The 19,795-nt window shown below is 44.5% G+C and overlaps 1 protein-coding gene and 1 pseudogene across 2 annotated transcripts in view; one reads left to right on the forward strand and one right to left on the reverse strand.

Annotated features, from left to right (window-relative positions):
• KIAA2012 overlaps positions 1-19,795 on the forward strand; it is a 131,934-nt gene that overhangs the window by 110,409 nt on the left and 1,730 nt on the right. For both annotated transcript variants that reach the window (NM_001277372.4, NM_001367720.2), the window contains exons 16-23: positions 1,090-1,180; positions 3,270-3,435; positions 4,489-4,603; positions 6,511-6,830; positions 9,638-9,840; positions 10,527-10,699; positions 13,137-13,356; positions 18,766-18,924. In NM_001277372.4, the coding sequence (NP_001264301.2) occupies positions 1,090-1,180; positions 3,270-3,435; positions 4,489-4,603; positions 6,511-6,830; positions 9,638-9,840; positions 10,527-10,699; positions 13,137-13,356; positions 18,766-18,904 (1,427 nt within the window). In that variant the 3' untranslated portion in view covers positions 18,905-18,924. The remainder of the gene's footprint in view (positions 1-1,089; positions 1,181-3,269; positions 3,436-4,488; positions 4,604-6,510; positions 6,831-9,637; positions 9,841-10,526; positions 10,700-13,136; positions 13,357-18,765; positions 18,925-19,795) is intronic.
• DAZAP2P1 (DAZ associated protein 2 pseudogene 1) lies at positions 15,800-18,299 on the reverse strand (annotated as a pseudogene).

The raw sequence follows: 19,795 nt of genomic DNA on the forward strand, positions 1-19,795 counted from the left end.
ACCCAGCTAATTTTGTATTTTTAGTAGAGATGGGGTTTCACCATGTTAGCCAGGCTGGTCTCCAACTCCCGACCCCAGGTGATCTGCCTGCCTTGGCTTCCCAAAGTGTTGAGATTACAGGCGTGAGCCTAACATTTGTTTTTTAAAATCAACTTGCTTTTCAATGTTATAACCTTTAAGAAAAAATATAAACACACCTAAACCTCCCAATGTTATCTATTATTTCCTTTTTCTGTTTTCCAGTTCATATCCGTCCAGATTTTATAGAGTTCTAACACACTATTCTGTAGTTTATATTTTTACTTGTCATATCAGTTTTTCCATATTGCTTATTTATCTTTTTAACCATAATTTTAAATGTCAAGTTAATGTATCATAAATTACTCCCCCAGTCTCCCTTGTTGAGCTGTTTCTAATTTTTCATGATTAATAGTAATGTTGGCTGAGCGCAGTGGCTCACACCTGTAATCCCAGCACTTTGGGAGGCCAAGGTGGGTGGATCACGAGGTCAGGAGTTCAAGACCAGCCTGGCCAATATGGTGAAACCCCATCTCTACTAAAAATACAAAAATTAGTCGGGTGTGGTGGCACACACCTGCAGTTCCAGCTACTCGGGAGGCTGAGGTAGGAGAATCACTTGAGCCCAGGAGACAGAGGGTGCACTGACCGGAGATCACGCCACTGCACTCCAGCCTGGTCAACAGAGCAAGACTCCGTCTCAAAAAAAAAAAAAAAAAGTAATGTAATAAGAAGTAAGTTGGTACAAAAGCTTGTTTCTTCTTTTGAATTCTTTCCTTATGATAAATACCAGGAGTGAGATTCCTGATCAAAGGCTAGAACATTTTTCTGATCACTGATACATACTGTCATATCACTTTCCCAAAGGATATTTTAATACTAATTTTAATGTTACTTGCCATGTGTCAGCCCTGGTTTCTGAAGTATTTGCTAATTTTCTGGGTATAGCATACGTCATTGTTCTAATTTGCATGCCTTTGGCTACTCACCAGGTAGATGTTTTTCCATGTCTGATCTCCTCCTAGGATAACTGCCTGTTGTCCTTTATTGATTGATACTCTGTTTTCACAGACCCAGAGCCAAGGAGTATGACCCTTGACTCTCCCAGGGCTTCCCGGACTGAGCACATCCAGACCCCAGAAGCAGATATTGTGCAAAAAGTGTAAGTGTTCAAAGTTGTAATAACATAGGCTTCTCTGCTTTTATTTTGTTTGTATTTTTAATTGGTTTAGTTTGGTTTTTTTTCAGACAGGAATGGGAGTTCTCAGCTGACAGTATGCTCTAACAGCCAAAATTAAATGGTTGTCTAAGAAACAAAGATTCTTGAGGATGATTATATTGTGATATGTTTCCTACCTAAATCATATTTATTTGGCTGGTTGGATAAAGAGTGAAGTTAACTCTAACCCTATGGGAACAGCTCTTTCCATTTGCCCAATCTGAGATCCACAGAGATGCCTAGAAAGCTGAAATCTATCACTTCAACCTGGGTTTGTCCCCTCAGCATTCAGTCAGCTCTGAGTAAAATAAATAATGCTGATAATCTTAACACCAATATTAATAATAATTGCTAGCCCGTATTGAGTGCTTCCCATGTACTGTACTTACGCGCTTACTGTGAGCCCAGCCAGTCAGGCGTAGTGTTTTGACTTAAGCTACTTTGGTAGTGGCAGCTGGCGTGGCCTCTCTGCCTCCATCTGGAACCACAGCCTATTGTGACTTCCCAAAAACCTCGATGACTTGAGAACCTGCTGTCACCTGCCCAGGGATGTAAGGATTCCCTCCTAGGTCAAAAAGGTTTTGTGTTCCCCAGGAATAAAGGGGGAAAGGCACTTGGATGAATGAGACAGCCACCAGAGGAACACCATTTTTAGAATTTTATACCTGATCTTTTCTCACAATGTATTTTAAATGCTTATGACAACCACCTCCACCAAAAAACACAAAAATTTTTTTAAATCAGGAGAAAAAAACACAAACTTTTCACAAAAGTCATCATAGCCTTTGTGACTTAATTTCAGGCTTGACAGAGGGATTCCTGACCTACAGATTTCTGAAAAAAAAAAAGAGCAAAACAATCAGGTTTGTGGTTCTCATTTGCAGCATACCTATTCCTCAGGGAAATTAAAGGTTTTCCAAGCACTAAATTCTAAAGGAGACTTCTCGTATAGGCTTTTATAGAGTGACATTGAATGATTTAAAGTCTCATATATTTACAGGAAATTCCATTCACCTCATTCAACAAATATTTCTCAAGTTTCTACAGTAAGGCCCCGTGCTAGCAGAGCACAGTAAAGAGAATACTCATTTAGCTAAAAAAAATAAAATAAAATGCCCAGAACCAGACCTGGCACAGAGCAGGCACACAGTAACTGATATTGCTGCAATCCACGTGGCTGCTTTTCAGTGCCCTTTCTACCCAGAGGGCATAAGTCAGTTATCCTCAGGGCAAACAGTGAGTGACAGCAATTCTACAATGGATAAAACCAACACAGCACATGACCTTTTAGTGGCTGAATTTGATCAAGGATAGAATTCAGAGGGCATATTGCCAGGCGTGGTGGCTCATGCCTGTAATCCCAGCACTTTGGGAGGCTGAGGCTGGTGGATCATCTAAGGTCAGGAGTTTGAGACCAGCCTGACTAACATGGTGAAACCCCATCTCTACTAAAATACAAAAATTAGCCGGACGTGGTGGTGGGCGCCTGTAATCCCAGCTATTGGGGAGGCTGAGGCAGGAGAATCGCTAGAACCCGGGAGGTGGAGGTTGCAGTGAGCCCAGATCGCACCATTGCACTCCAGCCTGGGCGACAGAGCGAGACTCCGTCTCAAAAAAAAAAAATGAAAAGAATTCAGAGGGCATAAAGGAATGAATGGATAGTTACATGTTCCTAACACAATCTTTCTTAAAGGTCACTTTCTTTTTCCAGCTAATCCTTTGATAGAAGAAATTTCAGTTAAATAATTCTATGCCATTCAATTAAAAGCATAAATATGCAACCCCAAAGAGCAAACAATTTATCCCACTCTCTAAATTTTAGGATTTATTCTGAGGAAATCCCTAAAGTGAAGACCAATCTTTCTCATCTTCCTTACCATGGGATGTGCAGAAGAAAAAGAGTTGACTAAGTATGTCAAATGTCAGGCACAGTGCCTGCAGAGAACAGGTGCTCGATGTTGGCTCACTTGCCCTCTTTCTTTCCACCAGAGTTTTTCTTTAGTTTGGTCCTGTTGGTTTGCTCTTTTCAAAGGGGCAGAGATTATGATGTACACCACCTACACAGAGGACTTCTGGGATACGGGCCTGAGTCACCCGAGAGGTTGAGTGCTGTGTATACATCTCTTCTTCCAAGAGAAAGAGAAGGGAAGGCTGAACCAAGACTGTTTAGCCAGGAGACATCAGCCAACATCAGTCATGTGAGTGTAAACCCCTAAAAGCTTGGTCCAAAAGCCCTACTTGGATCTCATCAAGGATACCATGCACAGTTGTATAGATTGCTCACTATATGAGGGCACCCGATAAAGGGGATGAGGGGGGCACTGAGGTCCAGCCTGTGGTCTGCTTACCAAGCCCTGCACAGCCACATTGGGCTGCATCCTCCTGAAGGATGGAACATCATTTCTAATTCCTTTTTTTTTTGGAGACACAGTCTCACTGTGTTGCCCAGGCTGGAGTGCAGTGGCGCGGTCTCGGCTTACTGCAACATCCGCCTCCCAGGTTCAAGTGATTCTCCTGCCTCAGCCTCCTGAGTAGCTGGGATTACAGGCATGTGACACCAGTCCCAGCTAATTTTTGTATTTTTTCAGTACAGCCAGGGTTTCACCATGTTGGCCAGGCTGGTCTCGAACTCCTGACCTCAAGTGATCCACCTGCCTGAGCTTCCCAAAGTGCTGGGATTACAGGCGTGAGCCACTGCACCTGGCCCCATTTCTAATTCCTACAAAGGTACTGAGTGGGTAGTCATGACCCCACTCTGCCATCCTCTCTTAGGAGGAACCACTGTGTTATTCTAGCCCATGGGGAAAGGTGAAGACTGACATAGTTGTGGTCATCTGCCTGAGGTTTCCTGAAAGTTAGCAAATCATTCTGCAGTGAATAAAGCTGGCTTTGATTTAGAATAGTTAACCATTAATCATGGCAACACCAATCTATCAAAGGTGAAAACTCTTTCCCTTTGATCCAGCTCTGTGAATCATGATTTAGAATCTAAGAAAGGAGGCAGACCATAAGTGTTTTTTCTTCCTCTTTCCTCTTATGAAATTATTTCTAGCAGTTTTACATCAAAGGCTGAACCTCTGAGTCTCCCCATCGGCTCTGCATTCTCTAAGATTCACTCTTCTGCTTTACCTGGAACCCACACAAATTCCATTCTAAGCCAGTGTGTCACCTTGTTCAACATAATCTTCTTTGATGGATTTTTTCATTTCCTATACATATTATGGTCCCCTTCCTTGATTTTTCACCTTTAGGAGAGGGATTTGATTAACGAGGCCAAGAGAAAGGAAAAACCCAAGAAAGACAAAACCAAAGGACCCAAAAGCGAGAGAGAAGGAAAGGTCTACGGGCAAGCAGAGGCTGCCATTGGTAAGAGAGTGTGCCTGCAAGTAACAACCTGGAGAAGACTTCTGTTAGGGGTCGGGAGGTGGTATGGATAATTAGCATGGATCCTACCGGACAAACTCTCTGTTTTGAGACTTCTTGACTACTACAGCCAAGATGGTGTTGCAGCCTTATGTCATATCAGTATCTTAATAGACAGAGATACAGGAAAACGGGGAGCCTAGAGGCCTGTGATCACCAAGAAAGGAAATTATAATAATAAGAGCACCTATTTACTGAATACCTACTCTTATTTATTAGGACTCTGTATATGTGATCTCATTAAATCCTCACAACATCTCCATGAAGGAAGTGTTATTATTATATTCATGTAGCAACTGAGGCTGAGCAAGGTTGGGTGACTTACATAATATCAAGTAGATCAGACAGTAAAGTGGTAGACCCAGGGCTTGTCCTTTCCTATTTGACTCCCAGCAGATTCTATTGCCACTGCCTCCATAAAATAATAACTATATCACATAATCAGAGTATTGGGTAGTGAGAGCATTTGGGAAGGGGAAGGATGCCACAAGTGTTGAATGATCCTCCAAGCTACGGTTTCTGTCTTGGTTCCCTATGTTGAGCCTGACCAGGAACTCGGATTCCTTTGCTTCTGAACACTTTCTTTAGCCTAAAACTTACACCCATCCTTTACTGCCCACATGATTCAGAAGACCCTCCAAACAAATCCAGTGCTGCTAGAAAGGACAACAATGGATACACTCCTGAGTGAAACCTATTTTTGACATTTGCTTGTTCATCTCTTGCTGAATTTACATTTTTGTAGCCCATGACTTGGGTAGCATTGGTGGAATTAGGCAAAGGAAATACTTGTGGTGCCCCTACCAAAGGTGAAGCGAAGGAAGGGTCCTTAGAGTACGGAAGGCTGAACTTTGCCAGGTTACAAAGCTGCAACCTCAAGCCAGACTCTCAAGGTATGACTTTCCAGCTGTGTGTACAAGCCTACCCTCCGGACGGTCCTGCCCCCACCATAAGTCAGAGTGAAATAGAACCTTTTTTTTTTTTTTGAGATGGAGTCTCGCTCTGTCACCCAGGCTGGAGTGCAGTGGCATGATCTCGGCTCACTGCAACCTCCGCCTCCTGGGTTCAAGCAATTCTTCTGCCTCAGCCTCCCGAGTACCTGGGATTATAGGCACCCACCACCACACCCAGCTAATTTTTGTATTTTTAGTAGAGACAGGGTTTCACCATATTGGCCACACTGGTTTCAAACTCCTAACTTCGTGATCTGCCCGCCTCAGCCTCCCAAAGTGCTGGGATTACAAGTGTGAGCCACCACGCCCGGCTGAAATAGAACTTATTTAATAGCAAGACTGCTGAATGTCAGTTGATCCAAAGAGGATAAGGTAGTTTCTCAAACGGTGGTGTGTGAACTACTCTTCCCAAAACACTTGGGGTGTTTGTTACAATGCAGATTCCCACTGAACCAGATTCTGGGGCTGGGGCTTAGGAATCTGCACCCCAGGTGATTCCATTGCATGCTAACTTTTAAAAGTTACTAAAAAGGGGCCAGGCACGGTGGCGCACACCTGTAATCCCATCACTTTGGGAGGCTGAGGTGGGTGGATTGCTTGAGCTCAGGGATTTGAGACTAGCCTGGGCAACATGGCAAAACCCTGTTTCTACAAAAAATACAAAAATTAGCCAGACATGGTGGTGTGCCTGCAGTCCCAGCTACTCAGGAAGCCGAGGTGGGAGGATCACAAGCCCAGGAGTTCGAGGCTGCAGTGAGCCATGATCGTGCCACTGCTCTCCAGCTTGGGTGACAGAGCAAGACCCTGTCTCAAAAAAAAAAAGTTACTAAAAAGGATGTATAGTGATCACATTAAGTTAACTCAGCTATATCTCTATCCCCAATTGTTCTCCCCCAGGAAAGTCAAAGGACTCAAAGGCTAAAAAAAAATTAGAAAAAAAAACAAGACCCCAAAGGAAAAGGACACAGAAGGAAAGAAATCTGGAGATAGCGGCAGAGCTGAGCGGGCCTGATGTCAGCTATGAGGAAACAGAAGACACCTCAAATAGAGGTTCCTTTGCCTCAGACTCCTTTGTAGAGGACCCTTGGCTTTCTCCCAAATATGATGCCCAGGAAAGCCAAGTTTCTCTAGATGGAAGATCATCACCCTCTCAGATTGCAACTGTCACTGGCAACATGGAATCTAAAGAAGAGAGAAGATGTGAGGACCCTTCCAAGGTAGGGTCTGATGTCCTCAGCTTGACAGAGGAAGTTCTGTTCTCACTTGGCGCGACTGCAAAGATGGGAAAGCTGCCCCTAATTATATTGCACTTACTAAAACAGCTCGACCACCTAATGGTCTTATTGTTCTACTTTGGTATCTTCTGACCCTAGTAAGAAGCCAGACCTGATCAAAGATGCAGGGGTAGCAAAGCCCCTCTGAAGTGGTGATGCATTCTGTGAGGCCCCCACATTGCCAGGGCAAGTATCCACCCTTTAAAGAATAGGAAATGATCACAGCACCCATCTCTGAGAGGTGCAGGACTCATGGTTACAGGGAAAGGTGGGTACTGGCTGTCAGAGCTGAGCATATTTCCTTGACTCAGGCTAGGGCTCATCTATTACTTGCCTTCCAAAGGCTGTGGAAATTCCTACTTTCCTAATCTGCGTTTCTGCGGTATGCAGCTGGAATAGAGAGAGGCAGCCTGTACACATATACCTGCTTTTACAAGATGCTTTTGGGCCGGGCATGGTAGTTCACGCCTGTAATCCCAGCACTTTGGGAAGCTGAGGAGGGTGGATCATGAGGTCAGGAGTTCAAGACCAGCCTGGCCAACATAGGGAAAGCCCGTTTCTACTAAAAATACAAAAATTAGCCAGGCACAGTGGTGCACGCCTGTAATCCCAGCTACTTGGGAGGCTGAGGCAGGAGAATTGCTTGAACCTGGGAGGCAGAGGTTGCAGTGAGCCGAGATCACACCACTGCACTCCAACCTGGGCGACAGAGAGAGACTCCATCTAAAAAAAACAAAACCACAAGATGTAAGAGTCACTTTGTTCCAGGGACCTTGCTTCTAATGTGGAGGTCTGAAGAGAAAAACTGAGTGTAAGGAAAAATTACCCTTGAAAATTGCTGCAATTCGGCCGGATGCAGTGGCGCATGCCTGTAAACCCAGCACTTTGGGAGGCCAAGGCAGGAGCATTGCTTGAGATCAGGAGTTTGAGGCTGCAGTGAGCTATGATTATGCCACTACACTCCAGCCTGAGCAACAGAACAAGACTCTATCTATCTCTAACCAAAAAAAAAAAGAAAAAAAAGAAAAAAGAAAATCCCTGCAACTAACTAAAAAAGAATACCATATAGATGCATCATCTGTCAGTAAGACCAAAACGGCCAATCTTTCCTCTGCTGTTGGAATAAATTACTATTTCTTCCCCTGAGACTAAGGTACTGAACTTCATTTTGACATCTTATACAAAAAAATTAAAAAGTAGCTTTAAACACTACAAATGCACACACAGCTAAGCCACTACAATTAAACTCACATATGTTACATTAACCTTTACCACACTTGTGAGCCAGGTATGATTAGCCCCATTTTACAGATCCAGAAATAGAAACTAGAAAGAGTTAAATGCAGGTTGCCAGAAATTGCACAACCATTGAGTGGTAGAGCCAAGACTTAAGCTTAGGTCCTTTGACTCCAACTTCAGGACTCTTGTCACCATTTTAAATTATTATCTATTTACTTATTTTATGGCTCATGGTCTTCCAAAAAGGATTCCAGGAAGATTTTCCTTTATAGTTCTCAGTCCCTCCCAGCTTCCTGGATCACACAATTCGGCTCTGCACAACAGATGAAAATTTTAACCTATGGGCCGAACTTTTCTGAACCTGCGGGATCATCAGCATTTCTTAGATTTATTGTCAATCCATAATACTATGCTGCCTCTGCAAAGACTAAAAAGCAAGGAGCTTTTTCTCTGAGTTGGATACACAGAGTTCCTAGAAGGCTTGCCTCTCAAGGTTCCCTTCATAGGCATATTTCTGAGGAAGAGGCACTAGGGAGAAAAAGAAAGCTATGACAACCTTCCTATAAACTGAAAGAACAACCTTCCATTGGAAAGGTGAGTTTCTGTGGGATTAAATGTGAATCTGACCCATCTATACCTAAGATTGCCCCTGGTAAAATAGCTTCTTTTTTTTTTTTTTTTTTTTTAGAGGGAGCTTCACTCTTTTTGCCCAGGCTGGAGTGCAATGGCGCAATCTCGGCTCACCGCAACCTCTGCCTCCCGGGTTCAAGCAATTCTCCTGCCTCAGCCTCCCAAGTAGCTGGCATTACAGCCACGTGCCACCATACCTGGCTAATTTTGTATTTTTAGTAGAGATAGGGTGTCTCCATGTTGGCCATGCTGGCCTGGAACTCCTGACCTCAGGTGATCTACCCACCTCAGCCTCCAAAAGTGCTAGGATTACAGGCATGAGCCATGCCCGGCCCCTTGTTTTTATATTTTTGAGGCAGAGTCTTGCTTTGCCACCCAGGAGTGCAGTGGCATGATCATAGGTGACTTGTTACCTTGAACCCCTGGGCCCAAGCAATCCTCCCACTTCAGCCTCCCAAAATGCTGGGATTACAGGCATGAACTGCTGCACCCAGCCACAAGTAATTTTTGAAAGCTCCTTGGGTGATTCTAAAGTGCAGCCATGGTTGAGAACTCTAGAACCTACCATGTACTGGACATTATGTTGGCACTTTCATTATTTCAGCTAATCCTGGCAACAGTACCATGAGGAAGACAATATCGGGAAGTTTAAGTTGTGATCCCTAAATCCCAAAGCAAGTAAGAGAGAGAGTTGAATCCAGGTTAATCAGACCCAAAAGTCCAAGCTGGTGGTGGCTGAGTCTATGCAGCTGTGGGCAAAGTGTGGAGTCTGTTTTATGATTCCATCTTTGATTAGAGACAACACTGTCTGGGGTGGAGAAGGGCTCACTGCTGAGACAGACCCATCTGTTTATTGCACTGAGAACACTCTGGTTTCTTAGGCCCTCCTCACTAAGAGGGAGCAGGAGAAGGCTTCCTGGGACAGGCTTCGAGCAGAAAGAGCCGAGATGAGGTGGCTGGAGGTGGAGAAGAAGAGAAGGGAGCAGGAAGAGCAAAGGCAGCTCCAGCAGGAGCAGCTGGAGAGAGCAAAAAAGATGGAGGAGGAGCTGGAGCTGGAGCAGCAGAGACGTACAGAAGAGATCCGGTAGGTTGGGCAAGCCAAAGAGACTACAGCCATGTTAGGAAGCAGAAGAAAAAGACAGTGGTTGACCTCCCCTAGGGGCAATGTTTGGTTCTGAGGCTCATGCCCTGAAGTTAAAATAGCATGTGTCATTTTTCTCTATCCTCAGTTTTCCTAGGAACAACACTCACCAGAGATAAACTGTAGCGTCTCAACCATGTGCATTGGTACACTCTGCTGAATGTCACTCTCTTTCAAGTTTAGAACCCCATGTGAGGGTTACTCACATTGATGACCCTGAGATCTTCTTGGGAAGGCTCTGAGATTCAGTCCAGAAAACACTTGTCAAGCCCCTGCACTTTGTGGTCTGCACTGTGCTAGGCCCTTTCACAGGCCTCAACTGCAATTTAATCTTCACAACCCTGTGAGGCAAGAGTTTTGAAATCCATAAGCATGAAAAATGAACTTAAGACCCCTGCTGCAGAGCACAGAGCTGTGTACTGAAACTTCTAGGCTTCTGGTTTCAAGCCCGCTGGGCTCTTTGCTCTTCAATCCTGGCTTCCCTTGGAAAACTGAGTCTCCTGGGAATAGGTTGCTCCCTGTGGCCTGTGGGCTGCAGAGCCTCCCCCATGGGCACTGTCTGTTGGCTCATCTCACAAGGATGCCTCAGTGTTTTCTGCCATTTCCCTGACCATCTTGGGTTTTCTCAGCTTGAGGAAACAGAGACTCCAAGAAGAACAGCAGCGGCAGGAGGAGGAGGAGAGAAAGCAGCAGCTCCGGTTGAAAGCAGCCCAGGAGAGAGCCCGGCAACAGCAAGAGGAGTTTCGGAGGAAACTGCGAGAACTACAGAGAAAAAAGCAGCAGGAGGAAGCCGAGAGGGCCGGTGAGGGGGTTCTTGAGCTCTTTGCATCTCTCTTCTACTTGGGGCAGAAACACTTTTATCCAGCTGTGAGTGTTCATTTATTCCTATCCTAGGCCTTAGTGTGTTAAGCACTCTAAATAATATAAACTATTTTTCAAAGTGATTATGTATGACTATAATTTGTTAATATAGATTTAAATAAGAAAGTAATGACTTGCTTGTGGAAATGACTCCAGAGTCCCTTTGCCCTTTCGGCATTGCTCAAGAGCTACCTAAATTGGAGACACAGCCCTACTCTTTGCTTCCTTCCCGAGCAGATGGAAACAGCCACAAACATCTGGATAGCTTCAGGGCAGACTTTCAGGTGCTGATGTGTGGAATCTTGCCAGCCTCTTTTTAAAAAATTATTAGTTTTTTGTTTGTTTGTTTTTGTTTTTGTTTTTTTGAGTCCGAGTCTCACACTATTGCCTGGGCTGGAGTGCAATGATGTGATCTCAGCTCACTGCAACCTCTGCCTCCCAGGTTCAAGCAGTTCTCCTGCCTCAGCCTTCCAAGTAGCTGGGATTACAGGCGCCCGCCACCATGCACAGATAATTTTTTGTATTTTTAGTAAAGATGGGGTTTCACTATGTTGGCCAGGCTGGTCTCGAACTCCTGACGTCATGATCTGCCTGCCTTGGCCTCCCAAAGTGCTGGGATTACAGGTGTGAGCCACCGTGCTCAGCCCAATTATTAGTTATTTTTAATTGACAACAATAATTGTACATATTTACAGGGTACAGTGTGACCGTTTGGCACATATATGATATGTAATTATCAAATTGGGGTAATTTGCATATCCATCACTTCAAACATTCATCATTTGTGTTGGGAACATTCAAAATCCACTCTTCTAGCCAGGTGTGGTGGCTCACACCTATAATCCCAGCACTTTGGGAGGCCTAGGCAGGTGGATCACCTGAGGTCAGGAGTTCAAGACCAGCCTGGCCAACATGGCAGAACCCCGTCTCTACTAAAAATACAAAAATTAGCTGGGTGTAGTGGTGTGTGCCTGTAGTCCCAGCTACTTCTTGGGAGGCTGAGGCAGGAGAATCACTTGAACCCAGGAGGCGGAAGTTGCAGTGAGCTGAGATAGTGCCACTGCACTCCAACCTGGGTGACAAGAGCAAGACTCTGTCTAAAAAAAAAAAGAAAAAAGAAAAAAACTGCACTCTTATAGCTATTTGAAAATATAAGTTATTGTTACAGTTGCCTACAGTGCTATAGAACACTAGAACTTACTCCTTCTATCCAGCTGTAATTTAGTAGTCTTTAACCAACCTCTCCCTACCCACCTCCACCAACCCCCTACCCTTCCCTGCCTCTAGTAACCACTATTCTATTCTCTATTTCCATGAGATCAATGTTTTTCGCTTTCACATGAGTAAAAATGTGTTATTTATTTTTCTATGCCTGGCTTATTTCACTTAATGTAAGTCCTCCTAGGATCATTCACATTGTCATAAAAGACAGAATTTCATTCTTTTTATGGATAAGTAGTGTTCCATCATGTATATATATACCACATTTTCTTTATCCACTCATCTATTGATGGACATTTATATTGATTCTGTATCTTGGCTGTTGGGAAGAGTGCAGCAATAAACACACGGGTGCAAGTATCTCCTCAACATGCTCATCTCCTCTCCTTTGGATATATACCTAGTAGTGGGATTGCTGGGTCCAGCCTCACCTTTGAGGAAGAGATAGGAACTTCAGCAGACAAAACTGTGGCTACTTCCTGGTTCTGGCTGTAGACTGGTCAGTCCAGCTGAGGAAGCACCAAGTTTCTTTTCTTTTCTTTTCTTTTTTTTTTTTTTTTTTTTTTTTTTGAGACAGAGTCTCGCTCTGTCGCCAAGGCTTGAGTGCAACGGCGCGATCTCGGTTCACTGCAAGCTCCGCCTCCCAGGTTCACGCCATTCTCCTGCCTCAGCCTCCCGAGTAGCTGGGACTACAGGCGCCTGCCACCACGCCCCGCTAATTTTTTTGTGATTTTAGTAGAGACGGGGTTTCGCCGTGTTAGCCAGGATGGTCTCAATCTCCTGACCTCGTGATCCGCCCGCCTCGGCCTCCCAAAGTGCTGGGATTACAGGCGTGAGCCACCACGCCCGGCCAGGAAGCACCAAGTTTCTCTAGACCCTGATTTGACACCGCTCCCCAACCCAGCTTCATACCACCACATAAGCACACCGGGCTCTGGAAAAATTCTTCCCTAAGGCTTTGTATTAATAAAGGACTCTTAAATTAGTAAATTAATCCCCAAGGTACTCCCCAGAGAGGATCTGGCAGCCTGCTAGCAGGTCAACTGCAAAATTTCTCACGGGGAGTCCTTCAGAATCACAGATTTGAGAGTTGGATCCGAAAATTGTTTTCCCTAAAAATGATCCCTGCTGAGCCCACCCCCTTTTCTATTCTGCAGAGGCAGAGAAGCAAAGGCAAGAGGAATTGGAAATGCAGTTAGAAGAAGAACAAAAACACCTGATGGAAATGGCTGAAGAGGAACGACTGGAGTACCAGCGGCGGAAACAGGAAGCAGAAGAGAAGGCTCGGCTGGAGGCAGAGGAGAGGAGGCAAAAAGAAGAGGAAGCAGCAAGACTGGCTCTGGAAGAAGCCACGAAACAAGCCCAGGAACAAGCCAGGTACTGGATATTTGGGCAACAGTTGCCATAGGGGGATGGTTCAAGGGCTTCACTGTCCAGTGCTAGTGCTAGCTTTGCACTGCCTTTAGACAAGAAAAGTCCCCCCACCCCCAGCATGGCTTGGAAGACTGAAAGGCATAGAGGGATTCTTTTGCTGCAAATGTCAAGGATTCCTTTGTAGCTTAATGAAGTTGTAATGAATCTACAAGGGAGTTTGGAGATATCTACGTCAACCCCCTAGTTTATAGATGAAAAAAGCAAGTCCCAAAGAGGGAAAGGATCTTGATCACAGACAAACAGTGACTTAGGGACAATGCCAAGACCAGATCTAAGACCCCCTGATTTCGAACCCACTGCCTGTCTTGATATCTACTGAGTGCCTGTTATGTGCCAAACACTGTTCTAGACACTAGGAATTCAGGAGTAAGCAAGACAGAGAAGGTCTCTCTTCCCATCATATTTACATTCTAGGGGTGGGAATGGAGACAGACTCTAAACAAATATTTTTTAAAGCTAGCAATAAATGCTATGCAGAAAAAATTTAACGATGTGATAGGACACCGGGCACAGTGGCTCACACATGTTAATTCCAGCACTTTGGGAGACCAAGAAGAGAGAATCACTTGAGCTCAGGAGTTCAAGACCAGCCTAGGCAACTAAGTGAAACCCCTATCCCTACAAAAAAAATCAAAAAATTAGCCAGGTGTGGTGGTGAATGCCTGTGGTCCCAGCTACATGGGAGGCTGAGGCAGGAGGATCACTTGAACCTGGGAGGTCAAAGCGGCAGTGAGCTAAAATCAAGTCACCACACTCCAGCCTGGGTGACAGAGCAAGACTCTCTTTAAAAAAAAAAAAAAAAAAAAGGCAGGGGCTGCCGGGTGCAGTGGCTCATGCCTGTAATCCTAGCACTTTGGGAGGCTGAGGCGGGTGGATCACCTGAGGTCAGGAGTTTGAGACCAGCCTGGTCAACATGGTGAAACCTCATCTCTACTAAAAATACAAAAAGCAGCTGGGCATGGTGGCAGGCACCTGTCATTCCAGCTACTCGGGAGGCTGAGACAGGAGAATTGCTTGAAACTGGGAGATAGAGGTTGCAGTGAGCTGAGATCGTGCCATTGCATTCCAGCCTGGGCGACAAGAGCAAGGCTCTTTCTCAAAAAAAAAAAAAAAAAAAAAAAGGATTTGATAGGATTGCAAGTGGCTCATTTTAATTGGCTAGCCAGGGCAAGACCTCTCAAAAGAGGTGTCATATATGGTGAAACTTGAATAACAAAGAGCCACATAAACATCTGAGAGAAAAATATTCCAGCAAGTAAACAGTAAATACAAAGGTCTGAAGAAAGAAATGAGACTGGCATGTTGGAAGAATAAAAGACAGTATGGATGGAATGAAGTGGACAAAGGGCAAAGAATACTTCCAGATGAAGTTAGGGATGTGGCCCCAAGACCAGATCTAACATGAGGGCCTTGTTAGAAGAAAAAGCACAGAATCAAAGTTATCCAGGGCCAGGGGAATTTTCCCCCTTTATTCTCCTACACTAGTGATTATCATTGCATCTTTCTGATAATAAAAACTGAGGTATGTATTTCAATTGACTTTTTAAAAGCTAGGTCCTCTATAGTTGCTACATCATGAACTTCCCTTCCTTAGTGAAAGCAACTAATAATCGTCCCTCTTTAGAACCACCAAAGTTGAAGGGTAAAGAGGCACAACCCCGAAAACCGTGTGATTCCAACGTTAACTGTAAATACTTTTCCCCTTGATATTTGTCCACAACTTAAGCTGAATCTAAGATGATAAATACTCTTTAGGGGACCAAAAAGAGAAGGCAGCCAGTGCAACTCAATATCAAGTTTGTCTACTAACCTTGAGTTCTTCCTTCTCTGGACCTTCCTCAGCTGTTAGGTGAATTACAAAATGGATCATTAGGAAAGCCCTGACTCCATTTCAAAATTATGTATTCCATGTACCATAGAAGCAGAATTAGCTTCCTAAATATTGAGACCACAGGCAAACTATTGGGAGTTCCAACTTTCCACACGAGAAGAAAACTGACGGTCATCCAAGAGAAATCTGGGCAATTTATAAGGCTAGTCCAAGTAGCCGAAAGCAGAAAACCAAATAACTAAAGGAATGAGGGGAAGAGCCTCACTCTACCAAGACTCAGGAGAATTTGATACTAACTGGCTTTATTTCATCTTCACTGTGTGACACTGGCCCAGGTACTTTAACTTCTCTGGCCCGTTTCCTCACCCCAACCCCCTTTTTTTGAGACAGAGTCTCACTCTGTTGCCCAGGCTGGAGTACAGTGGCACAATGTTGGCTTACTGCAACCTCCACCTCCCAGATTCAAGAGATTTGTGCCTCAGCCTCCCAAGTAGCTGGGAGTACAGCCACGGGCCACCATGCTGGCTAGTTTTTATATTTGTATTTTTTATTTTTTTTATTTTCAAATCTTCAAAATAGTCTTTATTCTACATTTTTAGCATAAAAATTCCACAAGTTAACTGCACTACAGTGTAGAGAGAGACATACAATGCTGAACTTCCAGAACAGTCAACGGTACAAACATCACATGTACAGAACTCACAATTTAGATGAACTGAAATTTTAAGACAAAATAAAATCCAATTTCAGAAAACAAAAATCAAAACATTAAGGATCCCTGAAATATTCTTAACCCTAATGAGATTTCACTGGATTCAAGTCGTTTTGTAGTGAGGCATTCACAATATGACCCTATTAACCCACTCCAGGAATTTTGGGGGACCAAATGAGTGGCTGCATCAGACACTCTGACAAAAAATGGTAACCAATTTTTGATCTGAAAACTCCTCTTAATTTGGCTTTAAACCATCAATCAGGCTTTTGAAATGCATCTTCCTCCTTGCCCCTCATAATTTTTTTTTTTTTTTTTTTTTTTTTTTTTGAGACGGAGTCTCACTCTGTTGCCAGGCTGGAGTGCAGTGGCGCAATCTTGGCTCCCTGCAACCTCTGCCTCCCCGGTTCAAGCGATTCTCCTGCCTCAGTTTCCTGAGTAGCTGGGATTACAGGCGCATGCCACCACGCCCAGCTAATTTTTGTATTTTTAGTAGAGACGGGGGGTTTCACCATGTTGGCCAGGATGGTCTCAATCTCTTGACCTCGTGGTCCACCCACCTCAGTCTCCCAAAGTGCTGGGATTACAGGCGTGAGCCACTGCACCCAGCCACCTCTCATATTTTAAACTAACTGTTGTTCACAGTACAGTCTGCAGGATATCTTTGTTCAAACATAGCTCAGTTTTTCTGGCACCAAAACAAATTTGGGTTAGGTTCATGTATGCAGAGACAACCTATGAGGAGGACCCAAAAGGCACCCTCCATTTTTGCCTGAGGAAATACGAAAGCAGAAGTAACGGGATCTGTGCTTGGGGCACAGAGGGGGTTTCAGAGGATCCTTATGAAAGACTAGTTAAAAGATGACCAGTGGGGAGAAGTACAAGGAAAGAAGGAAATTGGCTTTCGGTCCTGCACCATTGATTCAATGGAGACTGGCGGGAGGAAATGGAAGACTAGGGTTGGAGATGGGATGGGTGGGGCAAGGGATGTAAAGGAAAAGGCACACACTAATGCGTTCCATTTATAACAAGTAATATAAATCAAAGACTTAAAGGAGATTAAAGACCAATCAGAATAATTTTGGAACTTTTTTTTTTTTTTTGGTGACGGAGTTTCGCTCTTGTTGCCCAGGCTGGAGTGCAATGGTGTGATCTCGGCTCACCGCAACCTCCGCCTGCCAGATTCAAGCAATTCTCCTGCCTCAGCCTCCTGAGTAGCTGGGATTACAGGCATGCACCACTACGCCCGGCTAATTTTGTATTTTTAGTAGAGACGGGGTTTCTCCATGTTAGTCAGGCTTGTCTCGAACTCCCGACCTCAAGTGATCCGCCTGCCTCAGCTTCCCAAAGTGCTGGGATTACAGGCGTGAGCCACCGCGCCTGGCCGTAATTTGGCAACTTTAATTCTTAGGAAGATCAAGTTTCCCTCCAAACCTAATTTGATGTTTTATTACTAACAGCAAAGACCAGTATGGCACAGTATTACTCCAAATTAAAGGAAGATCCTTAGGGCAGCTTCGCCCACATTCATTTTATGAATGGATACCTCCCTTACCTCAAAATGCTTCAGAGAGTTACTGCTACCATTACATGGTTCCTCATTAAATGTGAAAAGTGCCTGAAAGTTGGGGCACCAGAAAGACATCCCAACAACATGTGTCTAAACTGCAACTTCAGGTTAATATGACTACAGCAGTTACATTGTGAGAAGTGCTGAAGGTATGTGATGTCTTTCCCGGCACAAAGGTGGCCTTGGTTCCTCACCAGATGGTGTAGCCACCATCTGATTCACCCATGAAGAAGTTCCCCTTCCACTGAGTTACGAGGACATTGGCTGCCTGCATGACTGCAAGCTGAGCAGCACTGGGAGGGCATCCAGGAGGTGGAGGAAGAATGTTGCCAGCAGTAGCCCCAGCTCCAAATCTGGCACCTGCATCATACCCGCCTTCCACCAGCACTGTGGAGCCAGGTGGATAGATGGGACCAACTGGATAATAAGCCATGGGGATTGTGGAACCTAAAGACCCAACAGCCACAGACTGGGCCATGGGAAGATACAGAGAGGCTCCAGGAAAGCGGCCGACATGGTGGGGACTGTGGCAGCCCCTGGGGTGCACAAAGCTTGGATGATAGAGCTCTGAGTAGGCAGTCGGAGCATCAGTATAGGGTAGAGCCTGAGAAAGATGCAAGGTCTGAGGGTAGACTGGATTCCCAGGAGGCTGCACAGGCTAGGTTGGCTGTGTTGGATATTGACCTTTGCTGTTCATGGTGGCTGCAGGTCCGGTTCGTCTCGGCATCAGGGACGGTTATCTTTTCCGTCCTCTTCCTGTTCGGAGCCACTTCATGTCACGTGACAGTCCATCTGTCTAGCGTTACCCAACGCCTGAGTGGCGCTGCCGCCGCAGTTTTTGTATTTTTAGTAGAGACGGGATTTCACCATGTTGCTCAGGCTGATCTCAAACACCTGGCCTATCTGCCTGCCTCTACCTCCCAAAGTGCTGCGATTGCAGGCATGAGCCACTGCACCTGGCCCGTTTCCTCATCTCTTAAATGAGGGAGTCCTTTCCAGCAGTGTAAGAACTGTGAATTATGCCTCTCTTTTTACTTTTCCAGTAGGAGGCTCATGGTACTCCAAACCTTGTATGTAAATTTACTAAATGAAGAGTATGATCTTCCACTGAAATCCAAGATCAACAGCCCGAAGTCTAACTGATAATTATTCAAATCTAAAGTTATCTTGCTGGCTTATAAGGACAATTTCTAGGGTGTTTAATCATTATTGGAATTGGGGGTGGGGTTGTCTCCTTAGGCAAAAAGCTGCTTTGGAGAAACATTTTCATTTCTATCAAGAACTCCATAAGGAAGCCAGTGGCCTGCAGTGGACACAGAACATTTCCAGACCATGGGTTTACTCTTATTTCCAGTTCCTACAAATACCCAGGCCTTAAGGCTAGAAGAAAACTAAAAAGTAAGTTGGGAGATGGTGAAAGAAAAGGAGAAATTCCCCTTTATAATAAAGTTCTAGGGGCCAGGCACGGTGGCTCATGCATGTAATCCCAACACTTTGAGAGGCTGAGGCGGGAGGCTTGCTTGAGGTCAGGAGTTTGAGACCATCCTAGGCAACATAGTGGAAACCTCATCTTTATAAAAAAACATTTAAATTAGCCAGGCATGGTGGGGTGTGCCTGTAATCCCAGCTACTCAGGAGGCTGAAGGAGGATCACTTGAGCCTAAGACTTCCAGGCTGCACTGAGCTATGACGGTGCCACTGTACTGCAGCCTGGGTGACAGAGTGGGACCCTGTCTCTTAAGAAAAAAAAAAAAAAAGTTCCATTCTGAGCCCAATTAGTTAGTTCCATTTCATCTGCTTAACCTCAACCCACACCTAAGATATTCTCTACTCTGGAACCTCCATTTCCACCACTCCTCCACAACTCACACATTTTGTTCAACCCAACTGAACTCTTCATTCACCTAAATCCTTTATGTCCTTCAGAACCACGTAAATCCAGAAGCCTTGGTGCCTAAAACTGCCCATAATTTCAGTCTGAAACACTAACGTGGTCTTAGGATAGTCAAAGTATTTCATTTCAGTCAATGTATCTGAAAGAGTTTAGATAAATGAAAATTTTGTAATGCAAAATTTTGTAATGCAGAGAAATTTATATATTCAAATATATAAAGAATTTTATTATACATCTCTCTATAAAGCAAAACCACAACCATTTCACCTTAAGAATCTAAAACGTAATGTCTATTTAGAACAATGCATATCTGCAACCACTTGAAAAATGTTCATTTCAGCAAAATGAGCTGCTTCGTGAGGCCATTCTCACATC

The sequence above is a fragment of the Homo sapiens genome, chromosome 2 (genome assembly GCF_000001405.40).
Source record: "Homo sapiens chromosome 2, GRCh38.p14 Primary Assembly".
NCBI classification, from domain to species: Eukaryota; Metazoa; Chordata; class Mammalia; order Primates; family Hominidae; genus Homo; species Homo sapiens.